This window comes from Homo sapiens, chromosome 15 (assembly GCF_000001405.40).
Source record: "Homo sapiens chromosome 15, GRCh38.p14 Primary Assembly".
In the NCBI taxonomy this organism is placed as follows: domain Eukaryota; kingdom Metazoa; phylum Chordata; class Mammalia; order Primates; family Hominidae; genus Homo; species Homo sapiens.
In genome coordinates this window covers 70587871-70611101 of record NC_000015.10, presented here as the reverse complement: position 1 = coordinate 70611101, position 23231 = coordinate 70587871, and the positions used below count along the sequence as shown (strand labels likewise).

The following is a 23231-nucleotide window of genomic DNA, read 5'->3' as shown; positions in this document are numbered from 1 at the left end:
GATTTACTCCTACTACCTTGCCATTAGCAGCTAGGACTCCCCAGCTCCCCAGGAGCCAAATAAAAAAGCATGCTTAACCCAAAGGATTAGATCCATAGTGGAGGAACTGGGGGCACAGGACAGTCTAATGAGGGTATATTTTTGCATGTGGGGGCATGTGGGGGCTGGGAAATCCAGTGGTTCAGCACATATGAGATTTTATGCATGGTCTAAAAAAACATTTTCAGGAATCCTGGTACTTCTATTTCTTAAGACAAAAGTACAACTGTATCCTAAAAAAGAACACGCACTGTTTGGATGGATGCTAGTGGGGTCTGAGCAGTGTGTGCGGAGGTATGTCCCCAAGGGGATCCTGGAATGAGATGGGTTAGAAGGGAATTGCATTGCATTCTTCATTCCAAGGATAAGAGGCCTTTTCAGGGAAGAAAAATAAATGAGTTCACTTACTGTGTAGAAATTCTGTGTATAGAAAATACACTTACTGTGTAGTTCATTTACTGTAGGAAAAGATAATCCCTGAAGGTTAAAAAATTAATATGTCAGTGCTTTTTGCAAATGTTGATTGTTATCTTGTAGCCCTAAAAGGAACTTAAATTACAATGCCTTTGTCTCTCTTCCTGTAAAGCAAGGGGCTGATATTGAACTTACTCTTACCCAAGGTGAGGATACAGAAAGGGTTGCTCTTCTGAGCATCAGAGGAGTCTTTCCTTGCTGAATTTATGTAGGGACAAAACTTTGGCAAGAGAACTTTTCTGAGTGGTGGGCATCTTCTGAGAAGAACCTGTCCTGACCCCTCTAGGCTCCTGGGAAGAAGGTCAGGGTGGGAGGGTGACACTAGCATGGACAGAGCAGCTACCGCGTGTCAGGGCCCCGGCAAGGGATTCGACGCCGTTTCTCGTATTTCTCACACTTCTCCCAGAGCAGGCGTCACGCCTGACCCAGTTTACAGATGAGAACACTGATGTCTGGAGGGATTAAAGCAGCTTGCCCAAGGTCACAGAGCCCGTTTATGGACTTGCTAGGATTCCAACACATATGATAATTGTTATCACACTGAACTGCTGCAGGCAAACACAATTTGAAAAATATTTTGAAACTTTATCCCAGGCCTCAGAGGAATCCAACTAGTTTGAGCTCATCTGAAAGGTATCCCCACCCTCCTTAAGATTCTTTGACACTGTGAAGCAGTCAGCAGAAAATAACTGCAGGAACAATTACTGTTCCAGATTGAGCCTGAATTTCAGGTCATTTTGATCTCCAGTCTGTATGCAGACTTTGTTAATATTCCAGCTTTGGGTTCAAAATGTCATGTTCACTGAAAAGTGAAAACAACAGTCCCCTGCAGCCATCAGGGCCCTCCTAGAGGGAGGCTTGGCTGCCAGGGGAAATCTACCAATTGCCCAAAGAGATGAAACTGGAGGAGGCACAATCTGGCCTCCAAGCCCTTAAGAGCCTGATTATTGTTATTATTTTTTTTTCCTGAGATGGAGGCTTGCTCTGTCACCCAGGCTCAAGTGCAGAGGCACCTTCTCGGCTCACTGCAACCTCCACCTCCCGGGTTCAAGCAATCCTCCTGCCTCAGCCTCTCGAGTAGTTAAGATTACAGGTGTGTGCCACCACGCCTGGCTAATTTTTGTATTTTTAGTAGAGATGGGGTTTCACCACATTGGCAAGGCTGGTCTTGAACTCCTGACCTCAAGTGATCCACCTGCCTTGGCCTCTCAAAGTGCTGGGATTACAGGCATGAGCCACCATGCCAGACTAACATTTTAATTTTTTTTTTTTTTTGAGACAGAGTCTCGCAGTCTCACTCTGTCACCCAGGCTGGAGTGCAGTGGCACGATCTCGGCTCACTGCAACCTCCGCTTTCCAGGTTCAAGCGATTCTCCTGCCTAAGGCTCCTGAGTAGCTGGGATTACTGGCAAACACCACCACGCCTGGCTAATTTTTGTACTTTTAGTAGAGACGGGGTTTCACCATGTTGATCAGGCTGGTCTCGAACTCCTGACCTTGTGATCTGCCCGCCTTGGCCTCCCAAAGTGCTGGGATTACAGGCGTGAGCCACCACACTGGACCAACATTCTAAATTTTAATGTTCCAAATTGAGACTATAAATTTTTACAGCCAGTTCTATCTATATATATTCTATTTATTATTTGTTTATCTATTTATCTAATTACTCAACAAATACTTACTGACCACCTACTATCTACCAAGTCATGAGAAAAGCCCAAGACAAGTTTTTCTGGGCTTTTCTTTTTTGTGTAGGCCCCACAGCCTAACAGTGGAGTCACCTCATAGAGGGTGTTAAAAATGTAGACCCCAGGTGCCTTTTCCAGGAATTCAGATTCAGTAGCTACTATTCATTAAGCATTTACTAGACCAGGTATGTAATCTCATTTAATCTTTACAACATTCATTCCAGGAGGAATTCTTCACATTTTACAGAAGAGGTGCAGAAAAGTTGAATAATTTTCCCCAAGTTTCACAGCTTAATAGCACTGGGATTTGAACCCAGATTTATCTGAATCCAAAGCTGGAGCTCTTTTCATCATGCTGCCCTTTCCTTAATCCAAAACTCGACCCCTGTCCTGATGCCAGCCCACACACTGGCAATACACCAGGTCAGTTAGGCTGGTGATGGTTTTCTTTCCTGTGGACTTGGTTTGGGTCTCCCTTGGATATTTGTTCTTACGTCATCCTCTGGCCGAAAGCATTTGTTTCCAAAGACCAGTGTCTGCAGGAGGAGGTCTAAATTCCTTGGTTTGACATCCAAGGCTCTTTACAATTTGGCTTCCTCTTATTTCTTCTTCCTTCTCCCTCTCAGCTCCCTACGCAAGCCCTCAGCCCAGCTGGTCTGTGCTCTATCTTTTGAATGCCAAGAGGTTGTTACCATGGAGAAGTTTCTTTCTTTTTTTTAACGACCTGCCCTTCCACTCACTCTGGATCCTATTTCCTTGCGGTTAAAGACTTTTCTCCTTTGATATCCCCTTTTCCTTGCATTATTTATCTCCCTCTCTTTCTGCAGCATCCCTTCAGCAGGTGAAATGCTCCAAAGTCTCCCATATTGAAAAAACTCTTCCTTGAGCCCACATTTTCCTCTAGCTGTTGCATCATTTTCTATTCTGCATCTCAGCAACCCTTCTCAGAAGAGTTTTCTCCAGTGGTTGTCTCATCTTGCTCACTTCCCATTCACTCTCCAGCCTCCTACGGAAATCCTGCACATCAGGGTTACCAATAACTTTCATGCTGACAAATCCAAGATGCTTTCCTATGCTCCTCTTAAAGTCTCTGCAGTGTTTGACAGAGTGGCTACTCCTTTATGAAATGCTTTCTTCCCTTTACTTCTGATTCATTTGGGGATTAATTGCAGACAACAGAATCCACCCTAGCTAACTCAGGCTGAAAGGGATTTCAAAGAGGAAGTCTAGCTTTTATAAAAGGATTAGAAGTTTGGGAGGTCGAGGTGGATGAATCACCTGAGGTCAGGAGTTCGAGACCAGCTTGGCCAACATGGTGAAACCCTGTCTCTACTAAAAAAATACAAAAATTAGCCAGGCATGGTAACAGGTGCCTGTAGTCCCAGCTACTTGGGAGGCTGAGGCAGGAGTATCACTTGAACCTGGGAGTTTCAGTGAGCTGAGATCGTGCCACTGCACTCCAGCCTGGGCAACAGAGTGAGACCCTGTCTCAAAAAAAAAAAAAAAAAAAAAAAAAAAAAGATTGGAAGGAATTGGAGGTACATCGGATGGCTGTCACTCTCCACATATGACCCAGCATAAATGCCTGCTAGAATAACACAGAGGAACTGGCCCACCTCAGGCGCTACTGCCTCTGCTGTGCTTGGGATGCCTCACTACAACTTCTGGCTCCAGGTCCATGCTGCCCTGCTGCAGACCCTGCCAACTCAGCCAAGGCTCCACCCCAGCCTCTCTGAGGCTCCACTCACAGAGCCAGAGACTCTCTGGGACCCTCTGCTGAAAAACCAAATGCCCCCATGGCTGTGCTTGCCAGGAGGTGCAGTAGACCCATGCATGTCCCAGCCTCCAAATCTGCACCTGCTGGGAGAAAGCTAGGTCTGGTGCACATCTGAGCTAGAGAAGTGTCACATAGAGATATTCTTTAGCTTCCTGGCTTCTAGTGGGCAGTGAGGCACATGGCAAGGAGGTGGGAATGGAAAGGAGCGAGGCACAGATTCGCCAGCACCACATTCTTTCAATTTTCACCCTTTCTCAGAGTCCAGTTCTTCTCAGTCGCCCCGCGCAACTGATCTCTAAATATCAAAGGGCCTCAGAGCTTGATGCTCACCAGAGGGCTTGGGTGGTTGATCTGGAGCTGAGTGTGCTGTGTTCCAGATAGCGGCTCAAGATCCAGGCTTTGGGAAGTGGGGCAGCCACCAGCCAGGCCACCTGTGCCCACCTGAATGAGCTATATCCAAGGGCAATGGGAGAAATGTCCCTATTTCTGGCCACCATAGTAAACATCAGCCCTTTTTCACGCTGATGGACAGCCCACAAGTCTGATTTAACCTGAAGCGCTGTCCACTCTAAATGACCAGGCAGAAGCACTTGGCATGGCATCTGGATTTCATTTTGAGGTTGGGTTCAGAAGCTCAAATATAGGTCACCCTGAGATTATAAAATCAGATTGAAGGTTTCCTGCAGGCAGGGCTGGAGGCTGCCTTCTCAAGTCCCTATATCTAAGCAGCCACCAAGGGCTAAGGAAGATCAGAGAGAAGCCTTCAAATCTAGCCTGCAGTCTGCACCCACCCTTCCAGTCTTTCTTTAGGATCTGGACACCTCCCTGGGGAGCCTGCCAGTCCCTAGGGCATCAGGATGTTCAGCTCTCTGGGAGGTCAGAAAAACATCCCAACAGCTTGTCTCTCTGCTGAGAAACACACTGTCAGCCAAAGGCTGGACAAAACTCTGGGGCTGATCATTGCAAACATCAGAGTGCCCATTTACAGGCCAGCGAGTTCTTTATGGGCTTGGTTGAGCTCTCTGGAAAGCCCTGGAATGAATATCCACCAAGGGGCTCCTCTCTTGCTGTCTTTCTGTGGTCCCCAGTTCACCTCCTCCCTCTTGCGCTCCGCCTTTTCTTCTTTGGCCTTTGACTGCGATTTTCTTTGAAGAAAGAAATTACTTTGCCCCAGGAAACTCATTTATAGTGAAATAAGTGAAAGGTCTGGGCATCCGGCCCCATGTGGGGCTCGTTTTTGGGTTATTGCTTTAGCATGCCTTCATCTGGCTTGGCCAAGCTTGGAACCTCTCCCTGCCAGCATCACACCTGGCTTCAGCTGGAAGGGAAAGGACTTCAGCTTTTCATCTTCTGGGCCTCTTTGTTATTATTGGAGCCAAGGTTTGGCCTGGGATCAGACAGGGGGAGGGGACAGACAGTGGGCTGGGAACCAGAGCTGGAAACTGTCCCAGAGGCCTGGGAAGAAAAAGGGCTTCCTGTAGCTTTGGAGCGGCTGCTCCTCTTGAGTCAGGCCTGCAGCTCCCAGGCTGGTGGGGCTGAACTGCAGCCGGGCAGACCCCGAAAAGGATGACCCCCCTGGCCTAAGGGTTGTTGCTGATTTTAGATCCATAAGAAAAGGCCTTCTTAAGCCCCTTGTGATAAGAGATTTTAAGTGATTCCGCTTAAGTAAGAGATGCATAAAGATGTGAAAAAGCAAAAGGGTTAAGCTTTTAAAGCCATACGCTAAATTTCCTGAGTAGGGAGATTGCTTTGGGGGATGGTTTATAGGTTAACCGTTAATATTTTCTTAAAAGCTGGCTTATTTCTATCCCTTATTATTATTTTTTTAATGTAGCTTTGAGAAAAACCAAATTACCCTTTAGCATGCCTAAGAGGATTTTGTCTGTCGTACGTTTCAGGATCTTTATGGTGTGCATATCTACTGAAAACCATTTCCCATAAAAATACCAAGGGAGGGCATTGCGATGGGATTTTAAGCTTATTTAAAGTTAATTGCAGATTCATTTCACTGCACATTCATTGAGGGGTTTTCTTTCTTCATTATTAACATGAAGAAATGGCGGGGGCTCTGCCAAAAGTCTGAGAGGAGAGCGTGGCTGCTCTGAGAGTTTCCTGCGGGCAGCAGACGTCTGCCTAAGGACTGCCTTCTTGGGCTGCCAAGGTACTGGCTTATCCTTGGTTAGACGGGACTGAGGCACAGAATTGACAGCATGACTCGCTGGGGCATCCGTGGCTTCCGGCTCTCCCCGAACCTCCCTGCCTGCCTGGCTGGCAAACAGCACCACAATGAGGACACAAACAGCACGTTCAGGGTTGCTGAAGAATTAAAAGGCGGCTGAAAGCACAGACTGAAAGGGAGAAACGAGGTGTGCTAAAGTCTCCTGGGGGGAAACGGACTGTACAGCGGAGGCTCCACAGCAAACGTCCCATAGGGCCCCTCTGCTCTGCTTGTGTGTACTCAAGAACTTAGCGGGGTATCCACTAGCAGGAACAATTTGTTCATTCGTGTTAGGTAAGTTGAGACACTCTGAAGGTCTTTGCAAGGAGGCAATTATAACTACGGTTAGTTTCTTTGAACTTCTTGATTTGCTCACCCCATCTTCTATTGAGAGATGCTGAGATCTCAAAGATGCGTTCACTGGGGTTTGGCCTAGGTAAGTCTGTAGGTTCTGGGCATGAAAGAGGCCTTGGTGAGCCTCTGATCTACCTGTTTATTTTACACTGAGGAACCCAGAAGGGGTGAGGAACTTTCCCAGCATCATGCAGCTGGCTGGGGGAAAACCAGGAGGTGGGCCCCCAGCACCTGATTCCTAGTCAGGTGTGAGCCATTCCACGCTGATGCCAAGGGAAAACAAACTCTTAGATTGGAGAGCAGAGGACCGAGCCTGCCTGGAGCCAGGGACTACTGGGCAAGGCTGAGGAGAAGGCATGGCTCCTTCCTGTAGGAAACTTTGGGTGTGAGGGTGGTGCCCTCATTTGGCAAACTAAGATGACTGTTGGCCCAGTATTTCTTTAACTTTCTGGCTTTTCTGTGAATGGTTTATGGACCAGTTTTCTTACTGCAAAGCTACAAAGCAAATATATATATATATATATATATATATATATATATATATATATACACATTTATATAAAATATAAATAAAATATTATATATAACTCTCTCTCTCTCTCTTTCTATATATATATATATATATATATATATATCTCACTGGCCAAGCTGATTATGCGGCCTTTTCTCATGAGCATCTCATTGAGTTCTCACAATTCTATGAGGACAGTACTATTATGACCCCATTTTGCAGGGAGACCGTGGGCATGATGTGAGAGAGTCCACTCCTGCTACCACCCCACAGTTCCTGCCTTGCACAAGCCCTCAGTCCTACCTGGACAGCCCCAGTGGCATTTTGGCTTCCCTGGTATCAGTGTCAGCTCAGACCCCCCTGTCCAGAATTCCTCTAAAAGTCTGATTGTTCTCCTTTTCCAGTGCAGTTATCAAGTAACTGGCTGCAGGACTCTTTGGGAAGGGATCAGGAAATGATTTATCACATATACTTGTGATGGCATTACAGGGTCCTTCCTCGAGGGGATCTGGCCTCCCCTTCAAGTGGTGGGTCCCGTGTCTGTAAACTGACTTAGATCTGGAAGCTGTGTACAGAGCCATTGTACTCTACTGGGGCAGCTGATGGCAGCTTCTGCTTGCCAGCTCTCTATGGTTTTTGTTGTAGTTGTTGTTATATAAGTCAGATAGCACTCTTGTGCCCCTCAGAAGAACAGCACGATCAGTTGGCAATCACCAAGATTGCCGCAGGTCGGGGCGGCCTGATTGCCACTCCAGCCTTGCTGCCTGTTACAGTCATTCTGTTCACTTCCTGCTGCTGAGTAAATGCTCTCCTCAGCATCAGCCTGTCTGGAATCCTATCGCCCCCACCTAGGATTCTGGGCCCCCCAGGTCCACGGCAGCATCTGCGACCCTCAACCCTGTCCTGTCCCAGAAAAAACAGCCACCACCACTGAACTCCTAAAGGGTGCTGGCGGCCCCCTGTCCTGTGCCATTGTTATTGCCTTACAGGGGGCATGGGCTCTGGTTGCTTAGAGGAAACAAAGTGAGCTCTGTGCTTTCACATAACAAGTCCATTCTGCCATTCCCACCCTCCTGAGAATGCTATTCCTTTCTCAGTGTTACGCCAAACATCCCAGCATCTCCACCTCCTAGACCACAGAGTTTTTTTTTTCTAGTATGCTATTTATGTAATTTAAAAACACACACGTATAAAGCTCATTTTACCAGGTTGCATGCATGCAAATTTGAAGACTTATAGCAAAACTACTAGAGTGCTGGCCCAAAACAAGGGCTGAGGAGCAGAAAAGGTGCTAGTATCAGGGTTATGGGGCAAAAAGAAAAAAAAGAATGTGAAGAGAAATACCAGATAGAGCGGCCTTGCATGGGCCCATGAGCGTGTGCTGTGTACTAAGGAATAGTGAACAACTTACATCTGACAACCTTTTGAAAACTATAAGTCCAAACAAGACTCCAGGCCAACCCACAGCTGACTGGGCTCCACGAGACATGTCTCTGATTGTCGGGTGGGTTTGGAGGGCTGATTAGCACTCAAGGAGGTGGCAGTGGGTCCTTTGGGGTATTTGGGAGGAACAGGGGCAGCAGAGGTCCGTCTGGCTGAGGGTCTTCAATGGGAGAAGGGGACAGAGGGTGGAGCTCTGAGCTATAGTGGGGCAAGGGTGCTCAAATACTGAACCTGGAGGTCTATTCTGAGGGAGGGGCTTTGTACCCCTTCAAGCAGGGAGGTCCTCTGGATGGCCCAGCCCTGCAGCCCTAGAGGCCGAGTTGGCTAGAGTCTGGCATCCCACCTGGGGACAGTGGCTGGAGGTGGCCCTGTCCAGAGGGGCAGGGGCTGAGGAGTAGGGAAGTGGGGTCTCATGGGGAAAGGAAATAGGCTGAGGGCCAAGGCAGCTGGGTGCTGACTTCCCACGCAGGGGTCCTTCCTTGATTCCAGGCCTGAAGAAGCCATCAGTAGTATCTTAGGATTGGCTCCAGAGTCCTTGTCAAGACACTGAGCCCTGAGTTATGACGTGCTCCCTCATCAGTCAATATAAAAGACATTCAGCCTTATCTTTAGCCAACCACACTGAGCCTAAACTCCCAAGATCCGCCCTCACATGTGTTCCCATGTGAGGCTGTGTTTCTCTGCTTGGACTGTGTGGTATCCTGACCCTGGTTATTGGCCTAAGGCAGCAATTGATGGTGGGGGAAGATCTTGAGGTCAAGCATCATTTGGCAAGGAACCTGAGTCAGGTGAGGTTTCTGCATGGTCTCCATGCAGCAGGAGGCCACTCTTCTCTAACAAAGGGGAGGGAGCTTCTTCCAGCCTTGGTGTTTCAAGCTATCTGGGGTTCCAAATTCTCAGTCTTGTTTACCCAAATATCCCCATTCCAGGCCTCAGGGTCCCACTCTTTTCCTGTGAAGCCTCTGATATTGACATGGGAGACTTGTCCTCTTAACAGCATTGCCACCTTTACCATTAGATCCTGGGCCTGAGGGTTATCCCAGGGGTGCCTGTGGGTAAGAGCCATGAGATCTGAAATGCACCACAGAGACCCTCTGGCTTTCACGGGGAACCTTGAGTTAACTGCTACCTGATCTGGGCCTGTCACTTTCTTTTCTTTTCTTTCTTTGTAATAGAGTAGTTTCTTTTTTAGAGTAGTTTAAGGTTCACAAAAAAAAAAAAATTGAGAGTACAGAGAGTTCCCAGATAACCTCCACCCCCACACATGTACAGCCCCCCAACTAAAAACATCCCCCACTACAGAGATCTCTGTTATAATCTATGAACCTACAGTGACATGCCATTTTCACCCAAAGTCCATAGTTTACATCAGGGCTCATTCTTGGTGCTGTACATTCTCTGGGGTTTGACAAATAGATAATGACATGTATCCACCATTATAGCATCATATAGGATAGTTCACCATCCTCAAAATCCTTCGTGCTCTGTCTAGTCATCCTTCCTTCCCTTCTTACCCTCCTAACAACCACTGATCATTTTACTGTCTCCATGGTTTTGCCTTCTCCAGAATGTCATCTATAAAATCATGCAGTCTGTAGCCTTTTCAGATTGACTTTTCTCACTTAGTAACATGCACTAGGCTGGGGGTGGTGGCTCACGCCTCTAATCCCAGCAGTTTGGGAGGCCGAGGTGCATGGATCACCTGAGGTCAGGAGTTTGAGACCAGTGTGGCTAACATGGTGAAACCTCGTCTCTACTAAAAATACAAAAATTAGCTGGGCGTGGTGGTGGGCACCTGTAATCCCAGCTACTTAGAAGGCTGAGGCAGGAGAATTACTTGAACCTAGGAGGTGGAGGTTGCAGTGAGCCGAGATTGTGCCACTGCACTCCAGGCTGGGTGACAAGAGCAAAACTCCATCTCGAAAATATATATATATATGTGTGTGTGTGTGTGTGTGTGTGTGTGTGTGTGTGTATGAACTTAAGGCCACTCCATGTACTTTTCAAGTAAAAAGTTCACTTTTTAAAGCACTAAATTATAGTCCATTGTCTGGATGTGCCAGTTTATTTATCCATTCACCTACTGAAGGACATCTTGGTTGCTTCTAAGAGTTTTGACAATTATGAATAAAGCTGCTATAAACATCTGTGTTTTCATGTGCACATAAAATTTCAATTCATTTGAATAAATGCCAAGGACTACGACTGATGGATCATATAGTAAGGGTATGTTTAGTTTTATAAGAAACTGCAACAGTATTCCAAAGTGGCTTTACTAATTTGCATTCCAACCAGCAATGAATGGGAGTTCCTGTTGCTCCATATCCTCATCAGCATTCAGTGGTGTCAGTGTTGCAGATTTTTGCCATTCTAATACATGTGTAGTGGCATCTCACTGTTGTTTTAATTTGCAATTCCCTAATGACATATGATATGAACATCTTTTCATTTGCTTGTTTTTCATCTGTATGTCTTTTTTGGCAAAGTGTCTGTTCAGCTCTTTTGCCTAGTTTTTAACTGGATTGTTCATTTTCTGATTGTTGAGTTTTAAGATTTCTTTGTGTATTTTAGATAACAGTATTTTATCAGATCTGTCCTTTGCAAATATTTTCTCCCAGTTTGTGGCTGGTTTCCTTGTTCTCTTGACTGTGTCTTCTTTGGCAGAGCAGAAATTTTAATGAAGCCCAGCTCATCAATTATTTCTTTCATGGATTGTGCCTTTGGTATTATAACTAAAAAGTCATCATGAAACCCAAGGTTATCTGGATTTTTTCCTGTGTTATCTCCTGAGAGTTTTACAACTTTGCACCTTACATTTGGGTCTATGATCTACTTTGAGTTAATTTTTCTTAGGGATGGAAGCTCTGTGTCTACATTCATATTTCTGCATGTGGATACCCAGTTGTTCCAACACAATTTGTTGTAAAGACATATTTTCTTGATTGTATAGCTTCTTTGCTCCTTTGTCAAAGATCAGTTGACTGTATTTATGTGGATCTATTTTTCTATTTTGTCCCATTGATCTGTTTGTCTGTTATTTCATCAATACCACACTACTGCAATTACTGTAGCTTTATAGTAAGAATTGAAGTCAGTAAGTTTAAGTTCTCTCACTTTTGCTCTCCTCCAATACTGTATAGCTGTTCAGTCTTTTGCTTCTCCATATAAACTTTAGAATCAGTTTTGGGTCTTCAGTAGGTAGCTGAGGAACCAGGTGAAGTCTGTGGACTAGGAAGACTCAATGCTAAGAGCCAATGTAGGACAATTTGGTAGGGTCTGTGGGTGGAAGTGAGAAGCGGCACATGGAAGCAGAAAGATCAGGGGCTGAACATGACTGGCCAGGGCTGCAGTGGGAGGCCTGAGCCTAGCGGGTGGCTGGGGAGCTACTCTAATCCTACTCTTTCCTGCAGGGAAAGGCTACTCTAATCATTTTCTTCTCAGGTGGCCGGCATCTCTATCTGCTGGGCAAGGGTGCATGGCAGCCATAGGGTCTAAAGAGGAAAATGCTTTAGGGTGATCATGAGGCTGAGCTTGGAAATGCTGATTCTGAGGAGCCGCCAAGCTGGAGCTGAAGAAAGGCTCTGCAAACAGGTGAGGCCACAGGAGGGAAGATGGTGTCAGTACCTGGCTGGGTTTCCCTCTTTCCTGTCCCCCAGTCAAGCAGGGAGGTAACTGTGCACTTCAATGCCTCCTGGGAGCTACGTGGCCAGGTGGGAAAAAGAAATCTCTATAAGGCTTCTGCTATGCAAAGCCAAGTCTGCAGAAGGTCAGAGGGCCTGAGGGGGAGGTGAAAGGAAGGGAGGTTGAGAGTCAAGTTGGTGTCTCAGGAGAAGAGGCTGGGAAGAATTCCTTGGCATTGGAGGCTGGTTATGAGAAAGGCTCTTGTGTCCTAGCCAGGCCTACTTCTGGGCAGTGTCGCACCCTGGGGAGGATTGACTTCAGGGTACATGGGATGCTAGGGAGTTCCAACCTTGCGGGTCCTAGCAGCGAAGGCTTCTAGATACATCTCAGAGGAAGTCTATGTGGGCAGATGACCAGAGCCTCCTCCCACCATGCCCAGTGCCTCAGGCCCCATGGGAGGAGGAAGTGAGACCCCAGTAATGGCTGGGGTTAAAACATCTTCCAGCTTGGCAGAAGGGAAGAGGGTGTATAGACTTAGCATTTAAGCTAAATTATGGAAAATAGGCACAGTAATCTTCCACCCAGGCTGGTAAATAAAATATTTCCTTTTTGCCCAAATTTGTCGACACAGATTCCTAGATATAAAAGTTATTGTAATATTAATTACTATTATAACCAATATTACCAATAACAAGTATTTTTTGTAATGCTTGATTTGTGGAAATTCTACACATGAATTATTTAATCTTTAAAATAACCGAGAGAGGCAGATATAGTATAAACCCATTTTACAGATGCGGAAACTGAGGCCAAGAGAGGTTAAGTTACTTGCCTGATGTCACACAGTTATTAATGCTGCAGCTGGAATTAAAATTCAGGCTTTAGAAATTACCATGTAATCTGGTCTCTCCTTCATATCAGCTCTAAGCACTGGCTGTAGGGATTTCAAAATGTGGAATATCCTCTTCATGTAAAATGCTTACCATCATGCCTGGCGCACACTGGCTCTTTAAAGGTTAGCATTATTTTTGTTACCATTTGTCAGAGTAGTCATTCCTCCCATTCTGTATTCTTTCTTTTTTCTTTTTTTATGAGACAGGGTCTTGCTCTGTCACCCAGGCTGGAGTGCAATGGCGCAATCTTGGCTCACTGTGATCTCTGCCTCCTGGGTTCAAGTGATTCTCATGCCTCAGCCTCCTGAGTAGCTGGGATTACAGGCGACCACCACCATGCTGGGCTAATTTTTGTATTTTTAGTAGAGACAGGTTTCACTGTGTTGGCCAGGCTAGTCTTAAACTCCTGACCTCAAGTGATCTGCCAGCCTGGGCTCCCAAAGTGCTGGAATTACAGGCATGAGCCACCGTGCCTGGTCCCATTCTGTATTCTTCCTTGCATATTAAAATAAAAAATAATTTAAACTACAATGAAATGGCCCTTTTCCGTGAAGCTTTTGTCTCAGCTGTGCCAAACAGCATCCGACTGCTGCCTGTCCAGCCCTTGAATGGTATGTGCTGAATCTCTGCAGATTCCTGCCCCTGTAGATGCCTTTCCTGGCCTCTGTCCAGCTGCTCATGGACTACGAGTGACTTGAGAGTGAGGACAGAATCCATGCTTCCCTGGGAGCGCTTGACACCACCTGGATATCCCGTTGAGGCTGAGGGCACCTGTGGGTGTCCCAGAGAGCACCCACTTGCTTTTGTGGGCAGGACTGCCTCTCTCCTCTCCCAGGGACACCAAGGCTGAACAGGCTCCAGCCAAGCAGTTCCTCTGGGGAAGATCAGTCCTTAGCAAAAGTGTCCTTCCTTTCCTTGTCAATATGTAGTCTGGGGGCAATGGCTGACCTCAAACCCCTAATTGATGGTTGCCTGGTCTCTCTGATTCTCTTTTCATCCTCATACCTTTGTGGCTAACATCTCATTCCTTTGCCTCAATATCTTCGGTATTGTGTAGAAGACAGACCATGGGCTTAAAATAAGTTCTGGATCTGAATCTTGGGCCCACTCATCGTAAGACATTTAACTTCTGAGAGCTGCAATTGTTCCATCTGCAAAATGTGGTAAGAATATTCTTTTCACAGGGTTGATGTAGAGGCACCTGGCTCAGTATCTGGTACATAGCAAAGGCACATACCTAATAGTCTTTTTTCTGTCTTCCTTTAATAATCATTCTGTGCTGCCAATTCTGGAAGTAAAAGGTTGAAGACACAATGCCTTACTCTAAAAGAATACATCTCTAGTTTTAAAGACTTCTGAAGGCTGAAGGTGCTCTGGGATCAATGGGCTTTTGGCTCCATTGCAGCCACCCCTCCCCCCCATACTAGTCTCACCCACTTTGTGAGTTGTTGATCATTGTGGCCAAAGAGCCATTACTCATACAGTTTAGCCAGTGTTTAAGAGCTCTGGTTCTGAGTCAGACAGACTGAGGTTCAAACTTCAGCCCTGCCTGGCTGGTGACATTGGGTGATTTATGTAACCACTTGTACTTCAGTTTCTTTATATTTTAAATGGGTATAATAATTGTGTTACCTCATAGTGCAGTTGTGGTGATGAAATGGGATAATGCACACAAAACATTTAGCATAATGCCTGGCATTCAGAAGTGCCCACTAAAAGTTAGCTATCATGATCACTATTACAAGATGTTCTGAAGAACTTTGTTATTTCTGCAATTTTAGTGCAGTTCCTGGGCTCCTCAAAGACAAGATAAAAGTCACTTGTCATCCACAGGGTCTGGTGTTAGTAAAGCTGAGGGAGGCATGAAAGCAATGCGATAAAGTCACTGCGGTGATTGTGGGACCTAGGTGGTGAAGATAATGTGAATCATGAATCCATCTGGGGACAACTATGCCCAATCCAAAAATGTTTCCAGACTTTGTTTCAGGGAGTTTGGTGAATTGGACACATTGAATTATATCCTAGAAGAAGAAAACAGTTAAGAAAAAAAGACAACTGGATAAATGGTTTTGAACAAAAAAAAAGATTTTAAATGAAGAGCTGAGCAGATAAGAAAATAATGAATGCACAGAAACAAAAGAAAAAGAAGACAAATAACAACGACAGTCATAACAATAACAGGGAAGGCAGATAAGTAAGCTAGCAGAAAAGCCAGTTCACCTTGAAGGTATATGCCAAAAACAATGGCCTTGAACTTCAGTTTTTGAAAGCTGGGTATGGTATGGGAGGTAAAATGTTAATTCCACTCAGGCTGATAAATCTAATAGAGACCCTCACATAGAGCTGGGACTCAAAAGGGCTGTGTCTCTAATGTAAAGGTAAATGTCTAATGTCCAGGAAGGAGGGGACAGCAGGCACACTTGCCCTTGCCTGACAAGACTGGACACTGGGTGGAAAGAAAAAGTATTCTTTGTGAAATTATAATTGCAGGCTGGCCCTGTAGGTCTGCAGCCCAAATTCATTCTGCTTATATGGTCTGAAATACCTTAAACAGAGAATTGAATTTAAAGCAGTCTTAGGTTTGAATTGCTGGCAGAAGCAAATGTAAAGTATCCAGAGGAACACAACTTCAACCCTAGGCTCAAAGAATCCCCACAGATAAAATTCCAATGAATTTCTGCTCACAGTCAAAAATCAAAAAATAGGCATGAAAAATTACACCATGAGCAAGAGCCAGCAGAAAAAACAGACAGCAGAATTAGTCCAGAAAAGACTTTCATATCAGAATTAATGGATACAGAGTATTAAGGAAGTATGTTTAATACATTTATAGAAATGAAAGAGATACTTGAAAATAAGCGAAGAAAGAGATAAAAGAACATAAGTACTTTGAAAAGGGAAAAAAGAAAATAGAATATCAAAGGAAGAACCAAGATGAATTATAAAAGAACCAAATAAAACTTTCAGGAATAAGAAACAGCAATTGAAATCTAAAATTTGAGTAGATGGGTGATATACTAGAAGCAGCTGAAGAGAGAATTATGAACTAGATGATAGATCCGAAGTAATTACCTAGAATGTATCCCAGAGAGAAAAGACAACAGAAAGTATGAAAGGAAAGTTAAGCAACATGGAAGATGAGTAATCTCTAATCAGAGTTTCAGAAGAGAAGATAGAAAAATCATAGCTGAGAATTCTCCAGAATTGTTGAAAGACAGTAAACTTTAGAACTAGGATGCTCTGAATTTCAAGCAGGATAAGAAATTTACCCCTAGACATATCATTGGAAAAATGCAGAACACCAAAGACAAAGAAAAGATTACAAAAGCAGCCAGAAAAAGATGAATTACCTACAAAACAATTACCCTTGCAAGGGGAATAAAAACCAGAAGATAATAGAAAAATTGTTGAAAGAAAATAACAGTCTAAAATACAGTTTTATACACAATACTGAGTATACAATAGTCAGCAAAAATATCTTTTAAATGGGAGGCCAAAATAAAGTCATTTTTAGACAAAAAAATGAAGAAGTTGAAACCAGCAAATCTTCACTTAAGGAAATTCTAAAATAATATACTTCCTATAGAAGGAATGTGATCTCAGACGTGATCCCAGATCTCAGATATGATATACAAAGAGGAATTAAGAGGCAAGAAATTGGTGAACATGTATGGTCATATCTAAATATGCAATGATTGTATAAAATAAGACATAATGTCTATTTTTTGGCTAAAGGAAAAATAGGATAAAAAGTAGATCCCAGTAACTTGCAAGTTGGGAGGTGTAATCAGAGTTAAGTATTTAAAAATCCATGAATTTTTCAGAAAAGGGGTAAGGATACTAATTAGCTTTAGACACTATTAAACATACTTGTTGAACTTTCTAGGGTAGCTACTATAATAACAGAGGTAAAAAATTGAGTGAGAAAAACAAATCAATCACCCTCCCTCCACCAAAAAAATGACAAGGAAAGAGAAACCAAATAAGAAAAAGAGAAAAAAATGGGACAAATGTGTACAGTACAAAATAAGATAACAAAAATAAATCAAAATATGCCAACAGTCACAATAAATGTAAAGTAACTAAAATTTCTGGTAAAAGACAAGGATTTTTGGAGTTATTTTTTAAATAAGCAAAATTCAGTTTATATGCTTTTTACAAGAGACATAACTAAAATATAAGCATACATAAAAGCTGAATGTAAAAGGCTAGAAAGATATATACCAGGCAAATACTAAGCCAAAGAACATAAATGATGTGGTGATATTAATAGAAGAAAAATAGTATTTAAGGAAAAAAGGATAACTTCAGACTTACAGTTCCATTACATAATGATAGGACATTCTTCACTAGGAAGATGTAACAATTCTAAACCAAAATAAACCTAATAAAAATAACATTAAAATATGTAAAGCAAAAATTGCCAGAACTATAAGAAAAAACTTACAAATTCACAGTCAAAATAGATTTTAATTTTCTTCTCTTATTAATCTGTGCGATTAAAAAATTAACAAAAATTTAGAGTATTTGAACAACACAAAGATGAAGTTTGCCCTAATAGACTTTTACACACAAATAGAGAACACATTCTTTTCTTTTTTGTTTTTTAAGTTCAGGGTACATGTGCAGGTTTGTGTATTTAGTCTGTTTTCATGCTGCTGATAAAGACATACCCAAGACTGGGCAATCTACAAAAGAAAGAGGTTTAATGGGACTTACAGTTTCACATGGCTGGGGAGGCCTCACAATCATGGTGGAAGGCAAGGAGGAGCAAGCTGCATCTTACATGAATAGCAGCAGGCAAAAAGAGAGCTTGTGTAGGGAAACTTCCGTTTTTAAAACCATCAGCTCTCGTGAGACTTATTCACTATCACGAGAACAGAGCAGGAAAGACCCGCCCATATAATTCAATCACCTCACACTGGGTTCCTCCCACAACACATGGGAATTGTGGGAGTTACAATTCAACAAGAGATTTGGTTGGGGACGCAAACCATATCATTCTGCCCCTGGCTTCTCCTAAATCTCAAGTCCTCACATTTCAAAACCAGTCATGCCTTCCCAACAGTCCCCCAGAGTCTTAACTCATTTCAGCATTAATTCAGAAGTCCACAGTCCAATGTCTCATCTGAGACAAGGCAAGTCCCTTCCACCTATGAGCCTGTAAAATCAAAAGCAAATTAGTTACTTCCTAGATACAATGGGAGTACAGGCATTGGGTAAATACAACCATTCCAAATGGGAGAAATCGGCCAAACCAAAGGGACTACAGGCCCCATGCAAGTCCAAAATCCAGCAGGGCAGTCAAATCTTAAAGCTCCAGAATGATCTCCTTTGACTCCATGTCTAACATCCAGGTCATGCTGATGCAAAAGGTGGGTTCCTATGGTCTTGGGCAGCTCCACTCCTGTGGCTTTGCAGGGTAACGCCTCCCTCCTGGCTGCTTTCACAGGCTGGCATTGAGTGTCTGTGGCTTTTTCAAGCCCATGGTGCAGGCTATCAGTGGATCTACCATTCTGGGGTCTGGAGGACGGTGGACCTCTTATCACAGCTCCACTAGGTGGTGCCCCAGTAGGGACTGTGTGTGGGGGCTCCAACCCCACATTTCCCTTCTGTATTGACCTAGCAGAGGTTCTCCATGAGGGCCCTGCCCCTACAGTAAACTTCCACTTGGACATCCAGGCGTTTCTATACATCCTCTGAAATCTAGGTGGAGGTTCCCAAACCTCAATTGTTGACTTCTGTGCACCCACAGGCTCAACACCACGTGGAAGCTGCCAAGGCTTGGGACTTGCACCCTCTGAAGCCATGGCCCAAGCTGTACCTTGGATCCTTTTAGTCACAGCTGGAGTGGCTGGGATGCAGGGCACCAAGTCCCTAGGCTGCACACAGCACCAGGACCCTGGGCCCGGCTCATGAAACCATGTTTTCTTTCTAAGCCTCCATGCCTGTGATGGGAGGGGCTGTTGTGAAGACCTCTGACATGCCCTGGAAACATTTTCCCCATTGTTTTGGGGATTAACATTCGGCTCCTCATTACTCATGCAAATTTCTGCAGCAGGCTTGAATTTCTCCTCAGAAAATGGGATTTTCTTTTCTATCACATTGTCAGGCTTCAAATTTTCCAAACTTTTATGCTCTGTTTCCCTTTTAAACTGAATGCTTTTAACAGCACCCAAGTCACTTCTTCAATGCTGACATTTTTTCTGCCAGATACCCTAAATCATCTCTCTGAAGTTCAAAGTTCCACAAATCTCTAGGGCAGGGGCAAAACGCCACCAGTCTCTTTGCTAAAACATAGCAAGAGTCACTTTTACTCCAGTTCCCAACAAGTTCCTCATCTTCATCTGAGACAACCTCAGCCTGGATTTCATTGTCCATATCACTATCAGCATTTTGTTCAAAGCCATTCGATATGTCTCTAGGAAGTTCCAAACTTTCCCACATTTTCCTGTCTTCTTCTGAGCCCTCCAAACTGTTCCAACCTCTGCCTGTTACCCAGTTCCAAAGTCTCTTCCATATTTTTGGGTATGTTTTCAGCAGCGCCCTACTCTACTGGTACCAATTTACTGTATTAGTCTGTTTTCACACTGCTGATAAATACATACCCAAGACTGGGCAACTTAGAAAAGAAAGGTTTAATGGGACTTACAGTTCCACATGGCTGGGGAGGCCTCACAATCATGGCAGAAGGCAAGGAGTAGCAAGTCATATCTTACATGGATGGCAGTAGGCAAAAAGAGAGCCTGTGTAGGGAAACTCCCATTTTTAAAACCAGCAGATCTTGTGAGACTTATTCACTAACACGAGAACAGCTCAGGAAAGACCCGCTCCCATTATTGAATTGCTTCCCATTGGGTTCCTCCCATGACACGTGGAAACTGTGGAAGTTACAATTCAAGATGAGATTTGGGTGGGGACACAGTCAAACCATGTCAGTTTGTTACACAGTTAAACTGGTGTCATGGGAGTTTGTTGTACAGATTATTTTATCATCCAGGTATTAACCTTAGTACCCATTAATTATTTTTCCTGATCCTTTCCCGCCCCCCGCCCTCCACTCTCTGAAAGGGCCCATTGTTCTTTTCAAGCACATGTGGAACATTTATGAAAATTTATCATGAGAAAAGTGATGAAGCAAGCCATAACAATTTCAAAAGGAGTGTTATTATACAGGCCATGTTATTTAACCATAATGCAAGTAAGTTAGAAATCAACAACCACAATGAAAAGAAATTATAAACTCCCATTATTTTGGAAGTTAGAAAAGGGAACACTGAACAACTCACGGGTTAAAAAACTTATAATAGAAATTAGAAAATATTTATAATTGAACATTAATGAAAATATTACACATCAAAACATGATAATACCACCAGAGCAGTATTTACAGGGAAGTTCATAGCATTAAACACTTATATTAGAAATGAAGAAAACCTGAATATTAATGAGGCATACATGAAACTTAATGAGTTAGAATAAAAACAGAAAGTGAAGGAAGGTGATAATAAAGGTAAGTGAAGAAAGAGAAAATAGGCATACAGTCGATATAATAAAAACACTTCAGGCCAGGCGTGGTGGCTCACGACTGTAATCCCAGCACTTTGGGAGGCCGAGGTGGGAGGATCACCTGAGGTCAGAAGTTCGAGGCCATCCTGGCCAACATGGCAAAACCCCGTCTCTACTAAAAATACAAAAACTAGCAGGGTGTGGCAGTGCAGGCCTGTAATCCCAGCTACTCGGGAAGCTGAGGCAGAATTGCTGGAACCTGGGAGGCGGAGGCTGCAGTGAGCCAAGATCATGCCACTGCACTCCAGCCTGGGCAACAGAGTGAGACTCTAGCAAACAACAACAAAACAACACAACAACAACAACAAAAACAACCAAACAAAAGAAACAACAACAATAAAAGAACAAAACCACTTCAAAGTTAGTGTTTTGAAAAGATTAATAAAATAAATTTACCAAGATTGACTGGAAAAAAACCCAACAACCAGGCATAGTATTTGGAATGAAAAAATATCCCCAGTTTACAAGAGGTCCATATCATTCTTAGTTATTTTACAGATGAGATTTAAAATTCCTTCTAACTTCAGTCTAAGTTCTTCTTGGCAAACCTGAGCCCAGAGACTAATGTGATTTGCACATGGACAGAGAATCGCTGTGCTTATCTGTCACGTCTTGCACTTGCCTGGCCTTCACAGCAACTTTTCCTTTCACTTGGTCTGCCATTTCTACAGGAGAATTATTCCTTTGAATCTGAATCCAAGGCACCTCTTAAAATAGGTGAGTATTGGCGATGGCTCATGGCAGGCGAGGGGGTGTCTCAAGATTCCCTTCTGGCCCATTCATATGACCCATCTTCATGGAGCCCCTTTACTGTATATTGGAAAGACAAATGTGGTAAGAGTGAAAAATTACTGATCCTACCCTCTAGTAACAGTTTCCCATAGAGAGGCAACTGTCTTTGGAATAATAGTGTGGTAAGCCACTGGGATAGAGGGGGAGGGTGCATATAGGAGTCCAAGCCACAGGAATGATGTGTTAAGTTGCCATGCATGAGAACATGAAAATTTGGTTTTTACTCATTGGAGGGCTGGGAAGGGAGGATCAGAGGAGAAGAGAGGGAGAGAGAGGGCAGTCAGAGGGTGTGAGGCTGGGGACCACAATGGGCTGATGTGGTCAAGATCTTTTCTCTAGGGGGCTGGGGTGGCTGAAGAATTTCTAAGAATGAGGCTTCCTACTCCTTTGTCTCATTATGTGTGAGATGTTGCAATGTGGCATGCCTCTGTCTGTCTCTTTACTATAAAACATTTTCAGTTAACCCACCTCCCTCTGCAATGCTTCCTGTGAAATTGTAAAAATGGAAGTCTAGTGGTTTGCCACTTCAGGTTCCAGAGTTAAAGAGAAAAGTGAGCAGGAGCTTAATGTCAGTGGTGATCAGGAGAATGTGAGCCCACTGGGAGCTGGCAGACATCTTGTAGGGGAGAGCTTTGAACTTCTGGGTGAGGAAATTGTGTTTGTACCAGTTATGATTGCAATTTTTGACAAGTAAGAGGAAAAACCTCCAAAGAGAGGTTTGAACAATCAAGGGGCTGGTACAGTGTCTGGAAGTTGTCACCAGGGTCCCAGGTTCCTTTTCACTTGCTGTTCTACCTTTGTGTGCAGCTTCTGTCCTCTTGGTTGCATGATGGCTGCTCCTCCTCCAGACATCTCGCCCATGTTCCAGGAAAGAAGAACAGGGAGGGGAAAAAAGGACAGATGAATGAATGTATCCTCTTTTGAAAAGCTTTTCTGGGAGTGCCATCCAGTGACTTCTGCCACATATGGGTCACGTGGCCACACTTCGTGGTAAGAGAATCTGGGAAGGAGACTATTTTAGCTGGGCTTATTGTCTTCCTGAACAAAATCAAGATTCTATCATTAAAGATGACTTGGAAAATGGCTGTTGGGTGGGCAATTGGCCGTGTCTACTGCAAACTCATCTAAACTAGAACTAAGTGGGCTGGGAGATCCCAGGAATCATCTGGGTTATATGAATAAGACAGCACTTGAGGACTTCACAATTTAGAAGGGAAGACAGATAAGTAATTGGAACAACAAGAACACTGAATTACGTTTTAATATAATGTGGTTAGAGGAAGCAATCGAAGCAAGCACAGGAGGCTTTGAAGCAGAGGTGGGGTGGGGAGGAGGCACAGGAGCAGGAGTTAATCACAGGACAGTGTGTCTATCGCATGAGGTGGGGTGGGGAGGGAAGAGGACGTCCTCTGCAAAGGGGACCCTGTAAGTGAGGGATAGTGTGTGGAATCACAAGCCGTTTTGTATTATGGGGACCAGTCTAAGGTGGGAAGGGATGGGGTGTGAAGTTGGAGACATCCGCAGGGGTCGATGGTCAAGGTTCTCTCTGCCTGGGTACGAACCTTGGCCTTCATTCTGAAGGCTGAGGCACTGAAGGGTTTGAAGCAGGGAGTGGCCTGGTCTGAACTGTGTTTTGCATAGCCATTCCGGCAGCGATGTGGGGGTGGCTTTGCTTAGACAGAAGGCAGAGAGGTAGGGGGTGGGGAGGCATCTCTGAAGACTCTCAGGATGTAGCAGGAGAGTCTATACTGCCTGTCCCAGCTCTGTAGTCTGGGTGATGAGGTTTGGTGGTGCTCTTTACTAATTTAGTCCAGGAGGAGGGGCAGGGGCATCCCTGGGCAAGGGGAATAGG

The 23231-nt window shown here is 44.2% G+C and overlaps 1 annotated feature.

Moving 5' to 3' along the window:
* Nucleotides 7913-8413: an enhancer, noted in NCBI's record as "H3K4me1 hESC enhancer chr15:70895028-70895528 (GRCh37/hg19 assembly coordinates)". NCBI's record gives its function as "activates a minimal SCP1, AML or CMV promoter by ChIP-STARR-seq in primed H9 embryonic stem cells {active_cell/tissue: H9 hESC(primed)}" and the evidence as "EXISTENCE:reporter gene assay evidence [ECO:0000049][PMID:30033119]".